At 48.0% G+C, this 18,320-nt stretch overlaps 1 protein-coding gene across 11 annotated transcripts in view, besides 5 other annotated features; it reads left to right on the plus strand.

Annotated features, from left to right (window-relative positions):
- Nucleotides 2,665-2,754: an enhancer, noted in NCBI's record as "active region_11798". NCBI's record gives its function as "activates an Ori minimal core promoter by ATAC-STARR-seq in GM12878 lymphoblastoid cells {active_cell/tissue: GM12878}" and the evidence as "EXISTENCE:reporter gene assay evidence [ECO:0000049][PMID:35858748]".
- Nucleotides 5,172-5,747: an enhancer, noted in NCBI's record as "H3K27ac-H3K4me1 hESC enhancer chr17:17204068-17204643 (GRCh37/hg19 assembly coordinates)". NCBI's record gives its function as "activates a minimal SCP1, AML or CMV promoter by ChIP-STARR-seq in primed H9 embryonic stem cells {active_cell/tissue: H9 hESC(primed)}" and the evidence as "EXISTENCE:reporter gene assay evidence [ECO:0000049][PMID:30033119]".
- Nucleotides 7,721-7,890: a silencer, noted in NCBI's record as "silent region_8240". NCBI's record gives its function as "represses an Ori minimal core promoter by ATAC-STARR-seq in GM12878 lymphoblastoid cells {active_cell/tissue: GM12878}" and the evidence as "EXISTENCE:reporter gene assay evidence [ECO:0000049][PMID:35858748]".
- The window catches only part of NT5M (5',3'-nucleotidase, mitochondrial), a 44,291-nt gene continuing 33,761 nt past the window's right edge, over nt 7,791-18,320 (plus strand). For 10 of the 11 annotated variants that reach the window (XM_047436421.1, XM_047436419.1, NM_001438936.1 and 7 more), the window contains exons 1-2: nt 7,791-8,235; nt 10,961-11,061. In XM_047436421.1, the coding sequence (XP_047292377.1) occupies nt 7,969-8,235; nt 10,961-11,061 (368 nt within the window). In that variant the 5' untranslated portion in view covers nt 7,791-7,968. Of the gene's footprint in view, nt 8,236-8,266; nt 8,320-8,781; nt 8,896-10,960; nt 11,062-18,320 lie in introns of those variants that run through there. The other variant, XM_011523964.2, reaches the window with a different exon arrangement.
- Nucleotides 7,941-8,040: a silencer, noted in NCBI's record as "silent region_8241". NCBI's record gives its function as "represses an Ori minimal core promoter by ATAC-STARR-seq in GM12878 lymphoblastoid cells {active_cell/tissue: GM12878}" and the evidence as "EXISTENCE:reporter gene assay evidence [ECO:0000049][PMID:35858748]".
- Nucleotides 8,171-8,360: a silencer, noted in NCBI's record as "silent region_8242". NCBI's record gives its function as "represses an Ori minimal core promoter by ATAC-STARR-seq in GM12878 lymphoblastoid cells {active_cell/tissue: GM12878}" and the evidence as "EXISTENCE:reporter gene assay evidence [ECO:0000049][PMID:35858748]".

Raw genomic sequence — 18,320 nt, forward strand, 5'->3', positions numbered from 1 at the left:
TCCATTCATCTATCAGTGGATACTTGGCTTGCTTGCACCTTTTTTTTTGTTTGTTTGTTTGTTTTTGAGACAGGGTCTTGCTCTGTTACCCAGGCTGGAGTGCAGTGGGGCAATAATAGCTCACTGCAGCCTCTAATTCTTGGGTTCAAGTGACTCTCCCACCTCAGCCTCCCAAGTAGCTGGGACTACAGGTGTGCACCACCACACTTGGCTAATTAAATTTTTTTTTTTTTTTTTTGAGATGGAGTCTTTGTCACCCAGGCTGGAGTGCAGTGGCAGGATCTCGGCTCACTGCAAGCTCCGCCTGCCGGGTTCATGCCATTCTCCTGCCTCAGCCTCCTGAGTAGCTGGGACTACAGGTGCCCACCACCACGCCTGGCTAATTTTGTTTTTGTATTTTTAGTAGAGACGGGGTTTCACCGTGTTAGCCAGGATGGTCTCGCTCTCCTGACCTCGTGATCCGCCCGCCTCGGTCTCCCAAAGTGCTGGGATTAAAGGCATGAAACACTGTGCCCAGGCTTTTTTTTTTTTTTTTTTTTTTTTTTTTTTTTTAAAGACAGAGTCTCCTCTGTCGCCCAGGCTGGAGTGCAGTGGCATGATCTCAGCTCACTGCAACCGCCGTCTCCCGGGTTCAAGCGATTCTCCTGCCTCAGCCCCCGGAGTAGCTGGGACTACAGGCATCCGTCACCATGCCCGGCTAATATTTGTATTTTTTTAGTAAAGATGGGGTTTCACCATATTGCCCAGGCTGCTCTTAAACTCCTGAGCTCAGGTGATCTGCCTGTCTCCGCCTCCCAAAGTGCTGGGATTACAGGCATGAGCCACCAAGCTCGGCCAAAAAAATCTTTTTTTTAGAAATGAGTTCTTACTATGTGATTTCTTTTTCTTATGATATCTTTCTCTGGTTCGGTGTCAGAGTAAATTGGCCTCACAGGATGTGTTGAGACATGTTCCCTTCTGTTCGATTTTTTGGGAGAGTTGTGAAGGATTGCTATTATTTCTTCTTAAATATTTGGTACAATTCACCAGTGAAGCCATCTGGTCTTAGACATTTATTTTGGGAAAGTTTTTTAAAATTACTCATTCAATCTTCTTTAATGGTTATATGCATATTCATATTTTCTTTTTCTTTTTATTCTTGAACTAGAAAAAGAAAATGTGAATATGAGTCATGGGCTTTGGCAGTTTGTATCTTTCTAGTAATTTGTTCATTTCATCTAAGTTATATAATTTTTGGCATACAATTGCTCATAATATTTTCATATATATATTTTTCTTTGTTTCTCTAAGGTGGGTAGGGATGTTCCTCTTTCATTCCTGATTTTAGTAATTTGAGTCCTCTCTTTTTGTTTCCTAGTAAGTCTAACTAAAGGTTTATCAATTTGTGTTGGTCTTTTCAAAGAACCAGCTTCTGCTTTCCTTGATTTTTCTAGTCTCTATTGCCTGTATTTCTGCTCTAATCTTTGTTATTCTTTACTTTTGCTTGCTTTGGATTTGGTTGTTTCTAGATTCTTCAAGTGAAAGGTTACTAATTTGAGGTCCTTATTTAATATAGGCATTTACAACTATAAGTTTCCTCCTAAGTGCTGCTTTGGCTATATTGTGTAAATATGGGGATGATGTTTTTTCATTTACATTTTTCTCCCAATGATTTTCTTATTTCTCTTGTGGCTGCTCCTTTGACCCATTATTATTTAGGAGTATGTAATTAAAATTCCACATATTAGTGAATTCCCCAAAGTTTCCTCTGTTACTGCTCTCCAGTGTAAGCAATGTGTTGGACTATTTACTTTGTATGACTTCAGTTCTTTAAAATGTATAGAGGTTGGTTTTATGACTAGCATATGGCCTATCCTGGAAAATGTCCCATATGTGCTTGAGAAGAACATGTATTCTGCTGTTGTTCGGTGGAGCGTTGTTCTATAGATGTGGATGTCTATTATGTTTAGTTGGTTTAGTATTATTTGTGTTTTTTATGTCCTTGTGGCCTAGTTGTTCTACCGCTTATTGAAGGAAGGTATTGAAGTCTATTATTATTGGTATTATTATTAAAAACAGGGTCTCACTCTGTCACTCAGGCTGGAAGGCAGTGGCATGATCATACTTCTCTATGGCCTCAAATTTCTGGGCTCAAGTAATCCTCCCACCTCAGACCCCTGAGTAGCTAGGACTACAGACATACACTACTAAGCCTGGCTAATTTCTAACTGTTATTTTATTTATTTTTTCATTGTTTTTTGAGACAGAGTCTCTCTCTGTTGCCCAAGCTGCTGGAGTGCAGTGGCGCAATCTCGGCTCACTGCAACCTCCTAGGTTCAAGTGATTCTCCTGCCTCAGCCCCTGGAGTAGCTGGGATTACAGGTGCCCACCACCATCCCAGCTAATTCTTGTATTTTTTTAGCAGAGACAGGGTTTCACTATGATGGCCAAGCTAGTCTCAAACTCCTGACCTCAGGTGATTCACCTGCCTCGGCCTCCCAAAGTGCTGGGATTACAGGTGTGAGCCACCACACCTGGCCTAATTATTTATTTATTTATTTATTTTTGAGATGGAGTCTCACTCTGTCGCCAGGCTGGAGCTCATCTTGCAAAACTGAAACTCTACCCATTAAATAACTTTCCATTTCCTCTCCCCTCATCTCCTGGGACCCACAATTCTACTTTCTAGTTCTATAACTTCGACTACTCTAAATACCTCATCTAAGACTCATATAGTATTTGTCATTTTGTGAGTAATTTCACTTAGCATAATATCCTCGAGGTTCATCCATGTTGTACCATGTGTCAGAATTTCATTTCTATTTTAAGTCTAAATAACATTCCATTATGTATGTCATATTTTGTTTATCTATTTATCCATTCATAGACACTGGGTTGCTTCTAATTCTTGGCTATGGTGCAAAATGCTGGTATGAACATGAGTATAGAAATATCTCTTAAGACTCTGCTTTCAATTCTTTTTGGTATATACCCAGAAGTGGAATTTCTAGATCAAATGGTAATTCTATGTTTAATTATTTGAGGAACCATCATGCTGTTTTTCCCAGTTGCTGTACCATATACATTCCCACTAAGAATGCATAAAGGTTTTAATTTCTTCACATCCTCACTAATGCTTGTTATTTTCTGTTTTGTTTTGGTTTTTTATAATAGCCATCCTAATGGGTATGCAGTAGTATCTCATTGTGGTTTTGATTTGCATTTCCCTAGTTAATAGTGATGTTGAGTTTCTCTCCATGTGCTTATTGGCCATCTGTATGTCTTTGGAGAAGTGCCTATTCAAATCTGTTGCTCATTTTTTTTTTTTGAGATGGGGTCTCACTCTGTTGCCCAGGCTGGAGTGCAGTAGTGCAAACTCGGCTCACTGCAACATCCACTGCCCGGGTTCAGGCAATTCTCCTGCCTCAGCCTCCCAAGTAGCTGGGATTACAGGTGCGCACCACCATGCCCAACTAATTTTTGTATTTTTAGTAGAGATGGGGTTTCACCATCTTGGCCAGGCTGGTCTCAAACTCCCTACCTCAGGTGATCCACCTGCCTTGGCCTCCCAAAGTGCTGGGATTACAGGTGTGAGCCACTGTGCCCGGCCTTGTTGCTCATTTTTAATGTAATCTGCATTGTTTCTGACAAAAAGTCTGCTGTCATCCTTTTCTTTTTTTTTTTTTTTGAGACGGAGTCTCACTCTGTCACCCATGCTGGAGTGCAGCGGCGCGATCACGGCTCACTGAAAGCTCAGCCTCCTGGGTTCACACCATTCTCCTGCCTCAGCCTCCCGAGTAGCTGGGACTACAGGCGCCCACCACCACGCTGGGCTAATTTTTTGTATTTTTAGTAGAGACGGGGTTTCACCGTGTTAGCCAGGATGGTCTCGATCTCCTGACCTTGTGATCCGCCCACCTTGGCCTCCCAAAGTGCTGGGATTTCAAGCATGAGCCACCGTGCCTGGCCCATCCTTTTCTTTTTTTGTTCCTTTGTATATAATGTGTCTTTATTTTTCTGGATGCTTTTAAGATTCTGTGTATTTCTGGCTTTGAGCAATTTGATTATGATGTGTCTTAGTTTTCCCAAACAAAATAATTTAAATTTAAAAAATACTGCCTGGGTGCAGTGGCTCATGCCTGTAATCCCAGCACTTTGGGAGGCCGAGGCAGGCAGATCACCTGAAGTCGGGAGTTCGAGACCAGCCTGATCAACATGGAGAAACCCCGTTTCTACTAAAGAAAATACAAAATTAGCCGGGCATGGTGGTGCATGCCTGTAATCCCAGCTACTCAGGAGGCTGAGGCAGGAGAATCACTTGAACCTGGAATGTGGAGGTTGCGGTGAGCTGAGATCACGCCATTGCACTCACTCCAGTCTGGGCAACGACAGCAAAACTCCGTCTCAAAAAACAAAAACAAAACAAAACAAACCAAAAAGTGAAATATTTAGGTATAAATCAACAAAACACATGCAGGATCTGTATACTGAAAACTACAAAACATTGGTGTAAGAAGCCAAAGAAAAGAGGGATATACTGTGTTCATGGATTGGAATAGTCAACATAATTAAGAAGTCAAGTCACTCCGAATTGATCTACAGATTTAGTGCACTTCCAACCAAACCAAGGAAGTTTTGTGTGTGTGTGTGTGTGTGTGTGTGTGTGTGTGTGTGTGTGTGTAGATATAGACAAGCTCATTCTAAAATTTATATGGAAAGTCAATGAAACTAGAATAGTTAAAACAATTTTGAAAAAGAAGTTGTGGGACTCACAATACCTAATATTAAGACTTACTATGAAGCTAAAGTAATCAAGACAGTTTGCTAATAGCAAAGGGAGAAACATACAGATCAATGGAACAGAATAGGAGAGTCTAGAAATAGATCCACAGAAATAGGATGGATGGAGTTTGTTTTTGAGACGGAGTTTCACTCTTGTTGCCCAGGCTCGAGTGCAATGGAGCGATCTCTGCTCACTGCAACCTCCGTCTCCCGGGTTCAAGCGATTCTCCTGCCTCAGCCTCCCGAGTAGCTGGGATTACACGCATGCGCCACCATGCCCGGGTAATTTTGTATTTTTAGTAGAGACAGGGTTTCTCCATGTTGGTCAGGCTGGTCTCGAACTCCCGACCTCAGGTGATCCGCCCGCCTCGGCCTCCCAAATCCTGGGATTACAGGCGTGAGCCACCGTGCGCGGCCTGATGGATGGAGTTTTTAAAAAACTGCAACGGCAACCCAATATAGAAGGCACAGCAGGAGCCCCGCCCCTTCTGAGTTGGCGGGGCGGGAGTTCCCCAGATGCCGCTGCAGTTGCCCTGCTGCGGCTCTGGCCCAGCATCTCTGTGCTCTTGGGAACCTGTGAAGGCTCCACTGCCCCTCGCAGGCTCGGAAGTGCCTGCTCCTGCTGCCTGGCTTCTCCCTGCTGTTGGTGCCTGCTTCAATCTCGGAGCAAAGTCGGGCCGAGCTAGGGCGCCGTCACAGCCCAGCCGGGAGTGCACACGCTCAGGGCAGCACTGACACGCCAGCCCCCTGCCTCCTTGGCCCCCTCCGGACTTGGGTGCCAACAAGCATCGGAGAACGGCCGAGGGGGGCATGAGGACAGCCTGGTGTTGGCCTGCAGGTACCCCTTGGCATGAACAGCCTGGGCGCCATGAACAGCAGCAGGAATGCAGACAGCTCCTCGGTGGAAGGGGGCGGGTCCCTGGTGAAGCCCCACCTTCAATCCTGGAAGGGCCTGAAGCCTGGGGGCCAGGTCACCAGTCCCAGTACCAGAGCGGGGAACTTGTGGTGCTTTTCCCCAGGCCTGCTCATGGCCACCTATGGCCGCCCATGGACCAATCAGCACTCACTTCTTCCCCTCTGAGGTCCATAAAAAACCCTGGACTCAGCCAGACTCAAAGAGAGGACGGGTAGATGGGGAGAAAACCAGCTGCAGAGAGGAACTACCCTTTCTGCTGAGAGCTGGACACTTGTTGGGATGAACTGCCTACCAGAGAGGAGCTACCCTCTCTGCTGAAAGCTGAACACTTGTGGGGAAACCCTGGCTATGGAGAGGAGCTGCCCACTGCAGGTCTCTTCTGAAGTATTCTGTTGCTCAATAAAGCTCCTCTTCGTCTTGCTCACTCTCCACTTGTCTGCCTACCCCATTCTTCCTGGATGCAGGACAAGAACTCGGGACCTGCCAAATGGTGGGGCTAAAAGAGCTGTAACACAGGCTGGGTGCAGTGGCTCACGCCTTTAATCCCAGCACTTTGGGAGGCCGAGGGGGGTGGGGCGGATCACCTGAGGTCAGGAGTTTGAGGCCAGCCTGGCCAACATGGTGAAACCCTGTCTCTACTAAAAATACAAAAATCGGCCGGGTGCGGTGGCTCACACCTGTAACCCCGGCACTTTGGGAGGCCGAGGCGGGCAGATCACAAGGTCAGGAGTTGGAGATCAGCCTGGCTAACATAGTGAAACCCTGTCTCTACTAAAAATGCAAAAAAGCTGGGTGTGGTGGTGGGCGCCTGTAATCCCAGCCACTTGGGAGGCTGAGGCAGGGGAATCGCTTGAACCTGGGAGGTGGAGGTTGCAGTGAGCCGAGATCCTGCCACTGCACTCCAGCCTGGGCAACAAGAGCAAGACTCCCTATCAAGAAAAAAAAAAAAAAAAGGGAGAGAATGTGGTACATATATACCATAGAATACTTCACAGTCATAAAAAAAGAATAAGATCATGTCTTTTGCAGCCATATGGATGGAGCTGGAGACAATTATCCTAAGCAAACACAGGAACAGAAAATTAAATACCTCATGCTCTCACTTAAAAGCGGGAACTAAACATTAAGTAAACATGGACGTAATGATGGGGACAACAGACACGGTGACCTACTTGAGGGTGGAGAGTGGGAGGAGGGTGAGGATGGAAAAACTACCTATCAGGAACTACGCTTATTACCTGGGTAATAATAATCTGTACACTAAACCCCCAAGACAGTCAATTTATATAACAAATCTGCACATGTATCCCTGTACTTAAAAGTTGAAAAGAGGCCGGGCGCGGTGGCTCACGCCTGTAATCCCAGCACTTTGGGAGGCTGAGGTGGGAGGATCGTTTGAGCCCAACATAGGAAGACTCCTGTCTCAAAAAAAAAAAAAAAAAAAAAAAAATTACCAGGGTGTGGTGGCAGGCCCCTGTGGTCCCAGCTACTCAGGAGGCAGAAGCAGGACGATCCCTTGGGCCCAGAAACTCAAGGCTGCAGGGAACCGAGATCATGCCACTGCTTCCACCCTGGGTAACAGAGCAAGACCCCGTCTCCAAAAAAAAAAAAAAAAAAAAGCAATACAGGGGTACTTAATATTTATTCATATATTTACCTGAGAATCATCAGTTTTACTAAGGCTGTATGATGTTAGCAGATATTGGTTCTATCAGTCTCTCCGCAGACATTTGCTGTAAATAAAGCAGAGAGGCTTTCAGAGTGCACCCTGTTTTTGTTCCTCCATCCTGTTGTCTGGATCCCCTTCTAAAACGTAAGTTCCAGGATGGCAGGAACTTTGTCTATTTGGTTCACACTCGACACAGTTAGTGCTCAAAAATGTCTAACGACACAGGCCTGCTTCTCGGTTTGCACTGCTCCTCCATGGTAGTCTGTGCAGTGGGAGAAGGCAGCCCGGGCCCAGGGTCCACGGAGAAGACGCAAATCGACAGCGCGGGAGCGCGGACCTTCTGGAGGCGCGCGGCGCTTACCGCTGTCCGTCCTCGAAGCCCCGCCCCGGGGCTCCGCCTCCGCCGGCGCGTGTTCCTTTAGGGACCGCGCGCGCCGCGGCCTCGCTCTGGGGCCGGTACTTGCGCGCCCGCACCCCGCGCTCCCCGCCCCGCTCCCCGTCCCGCGCTCCACGCGCGCCCCAGCGTTGGGGGCTTCTCCTCCGCGGCGGGAATGTCTGGCCGGCTCCGGCAGCACGGCGCGGCCCAGGTCCCCGCGCCCACGACGGGCCAGCGCGCTGGGCCATGATCCGGCTGGGCGGCTGGTGTGCGCGGCGGCTCTGCAGCGCGGCGGTTCCCGCGGGGCGGCGCGGGGCGGCGGGCGGGCTGGGCCTGGCGGGAGGCCGCGCCCTACGGGTGCTGGTGGACATGGACGGCGTGCTGGCTGACTTCGAGGGCGGATTCCTCAGGAAGTTCCGCGCGCGCTTTCCCGACCAGCCCTTCATCGCGCTGGAGGACCGGCGCGGCTTCTGGGTGTCGGAGCAGTACGGCCGCCTGCGGCCAGGGCTGAGCGTGAGCGTCCCCGCCCCGCCCCGCGCCGGGCCTCCTTCTCGCCCCGAGCCCCAGACACCGCCCCTGCGCCGGTGACCTTGGACGGTCAGCGCCCCAGCCTCGGGGTGGCCCTCTGATAGAATAGGGTCTGGGGGGGACTAGGGGCCACAGCGCACCGGGAAGATGCGGCCCCGCGCTCAGGATCTGTTGGCTGCCATCCAAGGTTTCTGAAAATGCGGGAGAGTACAAAGTGTTAATATACCTAACTCTGCATTTAAAGCTGACTTCAAAATTTGTGGCATATTTGGCCTCAAGTCGTTTGTTAAATTTTTAGAAAAATAAACGTTATAAGTTGTCCTCTTTCACCCCGACCGCAGTCACATTCCCACTTCTTTGTCCCCAGGACTTTGATGGGTGTCTTTACCCATCTTTTTTACTGTTGTCCATGAAAGCATAGCTTCCAGGGGTATTTGAGGCCCAGAGAGGTTGTGTGACTTTCTGGGGGTCACACAGTGAGTCAGTGGTCCAGGTGAGGTGGGATCCACCTCATGTCTTATCCCCTTGCAGAGCTGGCCTTGCTGAACACCTGAGCTCAACCCCTACCATCCGACTCCCGAGGTGTTCTGTCCAGGATGGATAGAGGGGAAAGATCCAAGGAGGGACGTTTACACACAGATCTTGGTTGGTAAATTTGAAGTATTTTGCAAAAGGAACAGGGGATTTTGGTATGCACAAAATTAAAGAGGCTGAGTGTTTTTTGGCATCCCTTGATTGGCCACCTAGGGTTGCTGCTGGAGGGTTTGATAAAGAGGAGAAGGAAGTTACAAGAGCCCGTTTTTTAGCCACAAGTTCACTGCATCCTCTCTTTTGTTGGGTAGATATTATTATCTCTGTTTTCCAGATGAGGAAACTTGCCCCAAGTCACATGCTGCTCAGGGGCTCAGTCAGGACTCAAACCCAAGTCTGTCTGCCTCCCAAGCACAGTTAGTGCTCCCCACTCCACAGTCCTGTTCTCTGTACTACTGTCTCTAACAAGTGACATTTCTTCTGACATCAGAAAGATGCCTCATCAGTAATGTGGTTTGTTGAGGGACAGGTGTTAAAAAAGGAAACCAAGTACCGTTTGTCTCCATCAACACCAGGCACTTCAGAAGGTGACTTTCACAGAGCCCAGTGTGCTGAGCTCTTCTACAGCGGATGCCTAATGATAAACTTTAAACTGGAGAAAATGCCCTGGTACTTTCTGCAGCCTCAGGAATAGGCTCCAGTGTGTGGCGAGTGTTCATTTATAGGCAGCGCTCGGCATGGGGAGTCTGGACACCATATATCCGCCCGGGAGTGTATTAACGTGGAAACCAAGCCCACCCCCAACTCCGAAAAGTGCAGCAGCTTTTCCAGTTCTTTGTGCAAATATGTAGGCTCTGTACGTGTGGGGTTACTGGTTTCCAAGCACAAGGCAAAGGCACGGGGCAGTAAGGAGGGTGCCTTGGGAGTAATCTGCTGGCTTCCACTACTTCCCTTCCTGAGGCACGGCTTGCTGCTGTGGACATCCCTGGGCCTACCCCAAGCTGGCCCAGTATCTGTGGTTAAAACAACCGCCCCCCCCCCCCCGCCCCCACACACGTGGCTCCTTATGTGTATGTAGGCATTTCTACTTTTCAAAATTCTGCTCTGTCTGTATTCCCTTTGGTCTTCACAGTACCCTATGTGGGATGTGAGGATCAAATGTGTTTCAGTAATAAGCACGCATTTGCCTAGTCCCTGTGGTTCCTGAGAGTGTTGCTGGTATGCTGTCAGGGCATCCTCCGGCCGTCCATGTGACAGGGTGGCTGTCTTTCTGTAGTGTGCAGAACAGCTGGTAGAGGCACTTCCTGTACTGCACACGTGGGATTTAGGCTCCTGCTCATAGGCTGAGATGTGTCTCCCCTCTGGTTGTCACTTTCCCCTTGCCTGACCCTAGAAAAGGTGCTGCATTCTGGCCCTGCAGCAGAACAGGGGAAGGAGAAAGGCAGCGGGGGTTGGGGAGTGGGGAGGAGAGGGTTGGTGTTGGGGGTTCTTCTCCCAGCTCAGCTGCTGTTTTGCTGTGTGACATCAGGTGGATCTCTTCCCCGTTCTGAGCCTCAGTTTTCTGACATGTAAAATGAGGGTCTGCATTTTTGCTTTGCAACTCTAAAAGCAGCAGAATCCTTTTTTTAAAAATGTACTTATTGGCACCTCAACATATAAAACCGATAAAAGCAGAGCTCTTCTGGTTAATGTGGGGAGGATCCTCGAGCTCCCTGAATTGTCCTTTTACCCTGTCTCCCCCTCCCCCTTGTCCCTCATGGCACCTTAAAGATCTCTGAGTCCCTCCAGTTCTCAAGTTTAAGGACTCTACTACCATGGTAAGAGCTGGTCCAGCCTCAGTTTCCACAATGCTTTTGGCCACTCGAATCCAGCCTAACAAGCACGCAGTTCCTGATGATTGGCCTCAGGTCCCAGAGAGCTCCAGCAGGTGTAGGAGTCCATGGGCCTGACACCTTTGCTGGTCTCTGCTGGATCCCGACGAAGTCAGGTCCTTTCTGGAAAGGGGTTCGAAGTCCACATACTCTCCGCACTACCCCCAGGAAGTACGTCCTTGGGTGTGTGTTTGGGGGAGTGAGAGGAATGAAGAACCACTCCCCCTATAGCCTGGCCATACTCCCCAAGATGAGGGCAGTAAGGTGCTGAGGACCCTGGAAGTAACTTGCTTTTCTCAACTTCTCAGGAGAAGGCCATCAGCATTTGGGAGTCAAAGAATTTCTTTTTTGAACTTGAGCCTCTGCCAGGGGCCGTGGAAGCTGTCAAGGAGATGGCCAGCCTACAAAAGTAAGTTTGTCCTCCCAGCCACTCAGTAAGTTTGTCTGAGCAGCCACTGAGCCCTGTACCTCCTTCCTGCTTCTTCCCTCCTCTGCCTTCTCCTTTCTCTCTCCTTGGCCCTGCGCAAGGCTGCACTTGCCTCGTCATTGCTGAGCCTGGGGAAAACCACCAAATACAATGATCTCGGTTTGTAGGCTGTGATGTTTTGATCCAGGAACTTGAGGAAATACCCAGTTTAATTTGATCTGGTTCCCTGGGTGTTCAAAGCTCATTTATTCAATGCCCGGACGTGGTGGCTCATGCCTGTAATCCCAGCACTTTGGGAGGCTGAGGCGGGCGGATCACGTGAGGTCGGGAGTTTGAGACCAGCCTGACCAACATGGAGAAACCCCATCTCTACTAAAAATAAAAAAGTTAGCCGGGCATGGTGGCACATGCCTGTAATCCCAGCTACTCAGGAGGCTGAGGCAGGAGAAACGCTTGAACCCGGGAGGTGGAGGTTGTGGTGAGCCGAGATCGCGCCATTGCACTCCAGCCTGGGCAAGAAGAGCGAAACTCCATCTCAAAGCTCATTTATTCAGCAAATATCTCAGAACTGACTGTGCTAGATACTGCAGGCCGCAGTGTTTCAGCAATGAGCAAAGTATAGTCCTTGCCCTCATGGAGCTTCTAGTCCAGACAGAGCAGACATTAAAGAATCACAAAATGGCCGGGCACGGTGGCTCACGCCTGTAATCCCAGCACTTTGAGAGGCCGAGGCAGGTGGATCACCTGAGGTCAGGAGTTCGAGACCAGCCTGGCCAAGATGATGAAACCTTATCTCAGCCGGGCGCGGTGGCTCACGCCTGTAATCCTAGCACTTTGGGAGGCTGAGGCAGGTGGATTGCCTGAGGTCAGGAGTTCGAGACCAGCCTGGCCAACATGATGAAACCCTGCCTCAGCCAGGTACGGTGGTTCACGCCTGTAATCCTAGCACTTTGGGAGGCTGAGGCAGGTGGATTGCCTGAACTCAGGAGTTTGAGACCAGCCTGCGTAGCATGGTGAAACCCCGTCTCTACTAAAATATAAAAACTTAGCTGGGCGTGGCGGCATGCACATGTAGTCCCAGTTACTTGGGAGGCTGAGGCAGGATAATTGTTTGAACCCAGGAGGCGGAGGTTGCACGGTGAGCCAAGATCGCGCCACTACACTCTAGCCTAGGCGACAGAGCGAGATTCTGCCTCCAAAAAAAAAAAGAAACCCTGTCTCTACTAAAAATACAAACAATTAGCTGGGCGTGGTGGTGGGCGCCTGTAATCCCAGCTACTTAGGAGGCTGAAGCAGGAGAATAGCTTGAGCCCAGGAAGTGGAGGTTGCAGTGAGCTGAGATTGCTCCATTGCACTCTAGCCTGGGCAACAAGATTGAAACTCTGTCTCAAAAAAAGAATCACAAAGTGAAGACACTTGCAGATTGTCCAAAGAGCTGAAGGAAAAGAGGTTCAGCGGGAAACTTCATTTAGAAAAAGTGTTTAAGGAAAGAGAAGTAGTATTGCTTGAGATATTTCTGTTTTGTTCTGGTGAAATGAGTAGTTTTATGGACTGAAGCCCCCACTCAGTGACCTGTTGACAATTACAGAGGATGTGCTTCCCTGAGAGATTTTTAAAAACAGCCTTATTGACATATAATAATGACATACCAGCTGGGCGCCGTGGCTCATGCCTACAATCCCAGCACTTTGGGAGGTCGAGGCGGGCGGATCAAGAGGTCAGGAGTTCGAGACCAGCCTGGCCAACATGGTGAAACCCCATCTCTACTAAAAATACAAAAATTAGCTGGGCGTGGGGGCGGGTGCCTGTAATCCCAGCTACTCGGGAGGCTGAGGCAGGAGAATCTCTTGAACCTGGGAGGCGGAGGTTGCAGTGAGCCAAGATTGCACCATTGCACTCCAGCCTGGGCAACAGAGTGAAACTCTGTCTCAAAAAAAAAAAGAGACATACCGTGCAGTCCACCCATTTGAAGTATATAATCCAGTGGTTTTACAAAACCATCCACAAAGTTGTGCAACCATCATCATATCCGCTTCAGAGCTTTTTCATCATCCCCAAAAGAAACCCTGTACCCATCAGCAGTCACCCCCATTCCTGTGCTCCCTGCCAGCCCCTGGCAACCACTAATCTACTTTCTGTCTTTAGGAATTTGCCTATTCTGGGGATTTCATATAAATGGCATCATATAATATGTGGTCTTTTGGGTCTGGCTTCTTTCATTTAGCACATGTTTTCAAGGTTCATTCATGTTGCAGCATCTATCAATACTTACTATTTTTATGGCTGAATGATATTCCAGCCATTGGATATGTATGGATCTAATGTATGGACTACATGTATTGATCCATTTATCAGTTGATAGATGTTTGGGCAGTTTTCACTTTTGGGCTATTGGGAATAGTGCTGCTATGAACATTCGTGTAAATATTTGTTTGAATCTTGTTTTCAATTCTTTTTCTTTCTTTCTTTTTTTTTTTTTTGAGACAGGGTCTTGCCCTATCTCAAAAAGGCTGGAGTGCAGTGGCATGATGATGGCTTACTGCAGCCTTTACCGCCTGGACTCAAATGATCCTCCTGCGTCAGCCTCTAGAGTCGCTGTGACCACAGATGCACACTACTACACCCAGCTAATTTTTCATTTTTTGTAGAGGTAGGATCTACCTATGTTGTCTAGGCTGGTCTCAAACTCCTAGGCTCAAGCAGTTCTCGTGCCTCAGCCTCCAAAAGTGGTGGGATTACAGATGTTTTCAATTCTTTTGAGAATATACCTAGGAATGGAATTGTTAGGCCATAGGATAATTCTGTGTTTGACATTTTGAGGAACTGTCAAACTATTTTCCAAAGCAATTGTACTATTGCACATTTCCCACTAGCATCATATGAAGGTTTCAGTTTCTCCACATCTTTGTCAACACTTGTTAATTTCTGTTTTACTTTAGCCATCCTTGTGGGTGTGAAGTGATTTTGTGAATTTTGGGTTGCATTTCTCTGATGGCTAATGATGCTCAAGCATCTTTTTTTTTTTTTTTTTTTTGAGACAGAGTTTTTGAGACAGAGTTGCTGACCTTGGGTCAGCAATGGCTTCTTCATATGACACAAAAATGCAAGTGACAAAAGAGAAATACACAAAAATTGGACTACGCCAAAAGTAAAAACTTTTGTGGTTTTTGTTTTTTTTTTTGAGACGGAGTCTCACTCTTTTGCCCAGGCTGGAGTGCAGTGGCACAATCTTGGCTCACTGCAACCTCTGCCTCCTGGGTTCATGCCATTCTCCTGCCTCAGCCTCCCGAGTAGCTGGGACTACAGGCACCCACCACCACACCTGGCTAATTTTTTGTATTTTTAGTAGAGACGGGGCTTCACCATGTTAGCCAGGATGGTCTTGATCTCCTGACCTCGTGATCCACCCTCCTCAGCCTCCCAAAGTGCTGGGATTACAGGCGTGAGCCACCTCGCCCGGCCTAACTTTTGTGTTTCTAAGGACAAAATTAAGAAATTGAAATGAAAGTCTACAGAATGAGGGAATATATTTATAAATCATGTATCTGATAAGAGACTTGTATCTAGAATATATAAAGAACTCTTCCAAGTTAACAATGAAAAAAAGCCAGGCACAGTGGCTCATGCCTGTAATCTCAGCAGAAAGCCAAGGCAGGAGGATCACTTGAGGCCAGCAGTTCAAGACCAGCTGGGGCAACATAGTGAGACCCTGTCTCTACAAAAAATACAAAAATGTAGTGTTATACCCAAAAGTAAGTTATCCTGTGCCTGACCTTGTCCAAAAGCTAACAGTAAAAAAAGACAAACCAATTGAAAACCTCAACAAAGGATTGAATGAACATTTCTTTAAAGAAAATTTAGAATGTCCAATAAGCACATAAAAAGATGCTTGAGGCCAGGTGTGGTGGCTTAGGCCTGTAATCTCAGCACTTGGCAGGCCGAGGCAGGCAGATCACTTGAGCTCAGGAATTTGAGCCCAGTCTGGCCAACATGGGGAGACCCTGCCTCCACTAAAAATACAACAAAAATAGCCAGGCATAGTGGTGCGTGCCTGTGATCCCAGCTACTTGGGAGGCTGAAGTGGGAGGATCACTTGAACCTCAGGGGGGTGGAGAGAGTGGGGGGAGGGGGAGGGTTTGCAGTGAGCCAAGTTCACACCACTGCACTCCAGCCTAGGTGACAAGAGCGAGACCCTGTCTAAAAAGAAAAAGATTCGGCTGAGCACAGTGGCTCACGCCTCTTATCCCAGCACTTTGGGAGGCCAAGGCAGGTGGATCACCTGAGGTCAGGAGTTCAAGATCAGCCTGGCCAACATGGTGAAACCCCATCTCTACTAAAAATACAAAAAATACAAAGATTTGCCCCTGTGTTTTCTTTAAGAGTTTTAGTTTTGGGCCGGGCGCGGTGGCTCACGCTTGTAATCCCAGCACTTTGGGAGGCCGAGGCGGGTGGATCATGAGGTCAGGAGATCGAGACCATCCTGGCTAACACGGTGAAACCCTGTCTCTACTGAAAATACAAAAATAATTAGCTGGGTGTGGTGGTGGGCGCCTGTAGTCCCAGCTACTCAGGAGGCTGAGGCAGGAGAATCGCGTGAACCTGGGAGGCGGAGCTTGCAGTGAGCCAAGATTGCGCCACTGGACTCCAGCCTGGGCCGACAGAGTGAGACTCTGTCTCAAAAAAAAAAAAAGAGTTTTAGTTTTAGCTCTTCCATTTAGGCCTATGATCCATTTTGAGTTAATTTTTGTATATGGTGTGAGGTAGGGGGTCAAACTTCATTCTTTTGCATGTAGATATCTTGTTGTCCCAGTTTCATTTATTGAAAAGACTACTTTTTTCCCACTGTATTGTATTCACACTCTTGCTGAGAATTAATTGAGCATCAATATAAGGATTTATTTCTAGACTTAGATAACTTTTATTGGCCACATTTTTGCTTGAATTTAGCAACCTGAATGACAAATGTAAGGTATGATTTGGCCTTCATTGTGTCATATAAATGCCTCTAAAAATTGTCAACTTTTAAAGTTCTAATATGATAAATAGGTGTCAGAGAAACACAAAATACAGAGTTTGAGTTGAATCGTAGACCTTATTTGGTAGTAATTTATCTTTGGATGTGAGTCCAAGTCCTGCAGAGTAGTGAATTTTATTCTGGTTTATGGTATGAACTTGATGTATCGTGTTCCTGTAGCAGGAGTCTGAGAGGCAAAGAATATGTGTACAGCATTCACACTTAAGCTTTCAAAACCCTGCTCGTGGCCTGGATCAGCATGTGCTGACCTGCAGCCACATGACTGTGTCCTGGGGAGCTGCAGGGCACAGTGGTTTGGAGTGGGGTTCTGGACATTGGCTGCCCAGGCTCACATCCTCACTTCCCCAGAATCTCATTCCCAGATGTCAGGCAAGTTATTAAACTTTCTGGGTTTCAGTAAAATGGAGATAAGGAGAAAGTCCTCAGTATATGTGCCTGGCACATAGCAGGTGCTCAGCAAATGCTAGCTGCTGCTGTTGCCGCTCTGTAAGATTTAATAGGCATATCGCAAGAAAGGCATCCTTAAGCCACCACGGTATGGGAAACAATGGATTAGATTGGCTTCTTCACCATAGTACTTTTCAGAGCTTTTAAGTGCTTGTGTGCTTTGTGACACTGCATTGGGGTAGTAAGGGATGCAGCTTTCTTCAAAAGTATTCTAGCGGCCAGGCACGGTGGCTCACACCTGTAATCCCAGCACTTTGGGAGGCCAAGGTGGGCAGATCACCTGAGGTCAGGAGTTCGAGGCCAGCCTGAACAACATGGAGAAACCCCGTCTCTACTAAAAATACAAACAAATTAGCCAGGCATGGTGGTGCATGCCTGTAATCCCAGCTACTCGGGAGGCTGAGGCAGGAGAATTGCTTGCACCTGGGAGGTGGAGGCTGCGGTGAGCCAAGATTGCGCCATTGTACTCCAGCCTGGGCAACAAGAGTGAAACTCCATCTCAAAAAAAAAAAAAAAAAATGTATTCTAGCCTGGGTGGGGTTTGGTAGCTCATGCCTGTAATCCCATCACTTTGGGAGACTGAGGCAGGAGAATCACCTGAGCTCAGGAGTTTGAGACCAGCCTGGGCAACACAGCAAGCTCCTGTCTCTACTAAAAAAAAATAATAATAGTAATAAAAAGAAGCCAGGCATGCTGACCTGTCCCTATAGTCCTAGCTACTTGGGAAGCTGAGGCAGGAGGATCACTTGAGCCCAGGAGTTCAAGGCTGCAGTGAGCTATGATCACGCCATGTACTCCTGCCTGAGCAACAGAGCAAGACCCCGTCTCTTAAAAAAAGATATTCTAGGCCGGGTGCTGGCTCACACCTGTAATCCCAGCACTTTGGGAGGCTGAGGCGGGCGGATCACCTGAGGTCAGGAGTTCGAGACCGGCCTGACCAACATGGAGAAACCCTGTCTCTACTAAAAATAAAAAATTAGCTGGGTGTGGTGGGCGTGGTGGGGCATGCCTGTAATCCCAGCTACTCAGGAGGCTGAGGCAGGAGAATCGCTTGAACCCCTGGAGGCAGAGGTTGTGGTGAGCTGAGATTGCGCCATTGCACTCCAGCCTGGGTAAAAAGAGTGAAAATCTGTCTCAAAAAAAACACCAAAAACCAAAAAAGGTATTCTAGCCTGGAACATTTTTTCATAGCTTCTCGATTAATACCTTTGCAGAAATTCCCGTTTGGGAATGCAAATCTAGACCATACCCAGTGGTCCTTTATCTCCATTTGGCTCTTAAATTGGTAGAAGATTCCTATGGTCAGTTTGTGCCCAGTATCTAGACAAAGCGAAGGGACTCGTCAGTAACTGAGTGGATAACTGTGTATCTGGTGCTGAAGTGGGCACTGAGTACAAGAGATGTGGGCCCAGCAGCAGAGACCAAGGCTGATCAGTCACCCTCATGACTATTTATCCAGCATCTGCTGCATGCTCAGCCTCATCCCAGGGGCTGCGGGGACACAAATAGGTAAGAGAGTTCTTACCTTCAAAGAGTTCCCTGGTAAACAGACATTGGAACATAGATCTCAAAGTAATCGTGGCGTTGGGGCTCAGGCAGGCAGGCAGGAACTGCTGCTCCCCGGGAGGCCACGCCATTGTGCTGCCATCTTGAGGAATGAAAAGGAACCTGCCAGGTAGTGAAGGGCAAGGGGACTCCAGGTAGGAGGGGAACAGTTGAGCAGACGCCCAGGGGACTCTCCTGAGATGGCCTTTGTGGC

Source organism: Homo sapiens, chromosome 17, assembly GCF_000001405.40.
Source record: "Homo sapiens chromosome 17, GRCh38.p14 Primary Assembly".
Classification (NCBI taxonomy): domain Eukaryota; kingdom Metazoa; phylum Chordata; class Mammalia; order Primates; family Hominidae; genus Homo; species Homo sapiens.